A 1,931-nucleotide genomic window follows, 5' to 3' on the forward strand; every position below is an offset into this window, starting at 1 on the left:
TGTCAGCAAGAGACCCTGGAAGGTTTAGACATGAACCACGATACCATCAGCAGCAGCTTCTCCGGATCGGGCCTCCCTGCCTCAGCATGCTCATGTGCTGATTGCAAACCCACTGTGTGCCCGGAGCTTCCAAGAGAGAAGGGAGAGGCAGAGAAGGAGGAGGCTGGGGAGGGGAGCTGGGACCAAGCCACAGAGAACTCAAGGCCTCCCTACACCTCTTAGACTTTATGTTTTTTATTTTTATTTTTTTGAGACAGGGTCAGCCTGCAGTGCAGGGGTGTGACCATGGCTCACTGCAACCTCGACCTCCTGAGATCAAGCCATCCTCCTACTTCAGCCTCTTGAGTAGCTGGGACCACAGATGTCACCACGCCCGACTAATTGTTTTTATTATTTGTAGAGAGGAGTTTTCATTATGTTGCCCAGGATGGTCTCAAACTCCTGGGCTCAAGCTGTTACTGGACAAAGAAGTCTTGATCCAGACCCCAATGAAGAGTTCTTGGATCTTGCACAGGAAGGAATTCAAGGGGAGTCGGAGAGTGCAGTGAGAGGAAGAGTTTACTGAAAGCTACTCTGTTACAGAGTAGGGTGTCCTCAGAAAGCAAGCAGAGGAATGCATCATCTTTGCTTTTCTTTCTTTCTTTCTTTCTTTCTTTCTTTCTTTCTTTCTTTCTTTCTTTCTTTCTTTCTTTCTTTCTTTCTCTCTCCTTCCTTCCTTCCTTTTTTCTTTCTTCCTTTCTTTCTTCTTTCTTTCTTTCTTTTTCTTTCTTTCTTTCTTTTTCTTTCTTTCTTTCTTTCTTCTTTCTTTCTTTTTTGCTCTCTCTCTCTCTTTTTTTTTTTTTTTTTTTTGTGACGGAGTCTCACTCTATCACCCAGGCTGGAGTGCAGTGGCGCGATCTCAGCTCACTGCAAGTTCCACCTCCGAGGTTCACGCCATTCTCCTGCCTCAGCCTCCCAAGTAGCTGAGATTAGAGGTGTGTGCCACCACGCCCGGCTAATTTTTGTATTTTTAGTAGAGACAGGGTTTCACCGTGTTAGCCAGGATGGTCTCGATCTCCTGACCTCGTGATCCACCCGCCTAGGCCTCCCAAAGTGCTGGGATTACAGGTGCATGCCACCACGTCTGGCTAATTTTTGTATTTTTAGTAGAGACGGGGTTTCACCATGTTGGTCTCGAACTCCTGACCTCAGGTGATCGTCCTGCCTCAGCCTCCCAGAGTGCTAGGATTACAGGCATGAGCCACCATGCCCAGCCTAAGCTTTGCTTATATAGAGGTCTTGTTTATGCAAAGACTAAACTAAGCTATGCCTGCATGCGGGTGAGCAGACAGCATGACAAAATTTATTATTCTATTGAGTTAAAGGAAACTATCCTTGACATTTTTGGGTGGGTACATCAAAGCATAACTATTATTATTTAGAAAACATATATTGTTATGGGTATTGGGACATTTGGATTCTCTGTTGTTATAGGGGCATGTCCTTGCAGGCAGCTTTAGTTGTTCCCTCTACTATAAACATCCCATGACTATGGGTGGTGACCAGCAAGGAATGTGCTTTGCTAGTCTCAAATGGAGCGGAACTTAAAATGGTGTTACTCTGGCCCTGTTATGCTCTTACTTTCCTAACAAAGCAATCCTCCCACCTCAGCCTCCCAAAGTGTTGGGATTACAGGTGTGAGCCACCACACCCAGCCGACTGTTAGGCCTTAGTCAGTCGGGGAGCCAGGGTCTTCTCACTGGGAATTTTAGGCACCAGGGCCCCAGAAGCTGGCAGAGGTGGTTGGGTCAGTAGCAGGGATGACCAATCATCCTGGTTTGCACAGGATGTTGAGTGCTAAAACTAAGAATGTCCTGGGAAAACCAGAATGGTTGGTCATCCTAGTAAAAACTCAGCTTCCCTTACCTTACTCTCAGCCAGCTCCTGGTCCC

The 1,931-nt window shown here is 46.7% G+C and overlaps 1 annotated feature.

The window, feature by feature from the left end:
* Positions 213-1,175: an enhancer, noted in NCBI's record as "H3K27ac-H3K4me1 hESC enhancer chr20:49606180-49607142 (GRCh37/hg19 assembly coordinates)". NCBI's record gives its function as "activates a minimal SCP1, AML or CMV promoter by ChIP-STARR-seq in naive H9 embryonic stem cells {active_cell/tissue: H9 hESC(naive)}" and the evidence as "EXISTENCE:reporter gene assay evidence [ECO:0000049][PMID:30033119]".

This window comes from Homo sapiens, chromosome 20 (genome assembly GCF_000001405.40).
Source record: "Homo sapiens chromosome 20, GRCh38.p14 Primary Assembly".
NCBI lineage: Eukaryota > Metazoa > Chordata > Mammalia > Primates > Hominidae > Homo > Homo sapiens.